We start from the raw sequence: 2,068 nt of genomic DNA, 5'->3' as shown, positions 1-2,068 counted from the left end.
AGTTACTGATCATTTTTTTTGTTTTATTGACACTTCTGCCCTTTAAATGTAACTAATTTGTACTACAAAAGTGGTTCGTGGGAGGTTCTATGAAGAGCTTATTAGTAAAGCACTGTGGTTTTTTTGTTTTGTTTTTTAATTTTCAATGCTGGCAGGCCATTCATTGAACTTCAACCTAATTAATCATCTAGAAATCAGTTACAATCTTTAATTGATAGCATTGTGGTAAGTTAATGTATAAGTTTCTAAATCATATCACAAACCAAAGAGCAGCTGTTCCTTAAACCATGTTCGACTAGAAGGGAGAGGACGTAATCTGATTACACATGAGAAGAAAACCCCATTTGTAGAAAATAATTTAAATTGATAATTACTGTAAACCAGCCCCCCTCCCCACACACACTTTTTAATAATGGGTTAACTTTGCCCTTTCTGTATGGCCATCGCTGGTTTTCTGACTAGTTGCCTAAACATGTTTCTCATATAAGCAAAACTGAACATGCTGCTGCTATTAATCATTAAACTTTTTTAAATGTGGTTTTCTGGAAAACTGGTACTTTGGGAGTTTTATAATAACCCTTTTAAAGTCTAAGCCACCACATCTCTGTAGTTCATTCTAGAAAACGTGTTTTGTCTTTATCTTTAGTAATCCGAGACCACTGTAAAATTAAGGCCATCAGGGAAATAGCAAACTGATGTGTTTTCATAGTGCTTTTTTCACACTACTGCTTGATTGACACATCTTTCTGAAACATTTTTATCAGTCTAGATGAGCCTCAAGTGCTTCTGCATTACAGTAGGTGGTCAGGCATTTGCCACATCTTAATCTTTTCACTAATTTCCTATACATGTTATCTTGATCAGGACAGGTATCAGTCAGAAATTATGCATGTTTGGGCATACTAAGATACTGTTCGTGAAGGTAACTGGTTTTGTTAAAATTAAGCCATACGAAGTATGTTCATTTGTCAGATTTGGTTTGGAAGGTGCCTGAGATACTGGTAAGGTATTGTGTTCTTGTGGTACAACACTAGGTAAAATGGAACCATTTTCTGTCCTGATTCTGTTTATATCAATTTTCAAAGCAGGATCTGATAAAACTAAAGGTGTTTGCTCTGTTTCACTGTGTCCATTAACTAAATCATGACTACTACAATTATTTTCAGAATTTGGCTCTATGTCAGCCATCTTTTGGTCTAACAAGCTTATATTTTAAACAGTGTCATCAGAACGTTCATTTCCATTCTGAACTAAACTGTTTTCTTTTCCATACTTCCTATACATGTCTTTGGTTCTGTAGAATCTTTCCTTGATTTGCTAGGAGAAACTGACAGACTAATGGTTTCTCAGTACTAGATGAATCCTTTTCCTGATGATTAGGATTGGAGTCTGTATGAACATCCCGAAGAATTGTCTCACTGGGTTGTGCAGATGATTCTGGTGTTTTAAACAGTGCTGAGCTTCATGTTCATATAGCAGAGGAAGATCTTCCAAAAGCTCATGGAATTCTGGAAAACTACACAGCTTGAAATATCCTGTGACTTTTTGTACGCTTGGCAAGCTGGAATGGCAGCTTAAATGACTCATTGCACAAAAATACACATTTGGATAGCTATGTCTATTAAGGTGGTCTGTAAAATGTTGAGAATCTTCAAACTGGCTTTGACGAAATTTGCATTTTCCTTTGTTCCACTTCAATACTGTCTGTCGCACATGTAAATCACCAGCTAATGTAGATGGATTTTAATTGTTCTCAAGGCTTAAGTTGTAACTAGTATTCCAAATAGCTACTGCTGTTTCAAAAATAACTTCAGAAGCATTATCGATGCCTAATTATTTCCATTCTGAATTAATCCTTGCTTTGTCTTTTCTTAGTATTAATTTTTGTGAAATCGGCCCTTCTAGGCCATTTTTGTTCTATACAATCTCTTAAGGCACTTTGACTCAAATGGTTCTGTGATATTGAAATTGATATTAAAATACAGCATTTCCAGGTACTGGGTAATAAATAATAGAAATCTGTTTCCAAGATTCCATGGAGCATGGAAGACGCACATTCTGACCCAGG

At 35.4% G+C, this 2,068-nt stretch overlaps 1 pseudogene; it reads right to left on the bottom strand.

Annotated features, from left to right (window-relative positions):
* Positions 1–553: 553 nt before the first annotated feature.
* On the bottom strand, positions 554–1,722 carry LOC100419761 (zinc finger protein 654 pseudogene; annotated as a pseudogene).

Source organism: Homo sapiens, chromosome 8, assembly GCF_000001405.40.
Source record: "Homo sapiens chromosome 8, GRCh38.p14 Primary Assembly".
NCBI lineage: Eukaryota > Metazoa > Chordata > Mammalia > Primates > Hominidae > Homo > Homo sapiens.
Note: the sequence above shows the minus strand (reverse complement) of the source record. Positions and strands in the feature narration are given on the sequence as shown.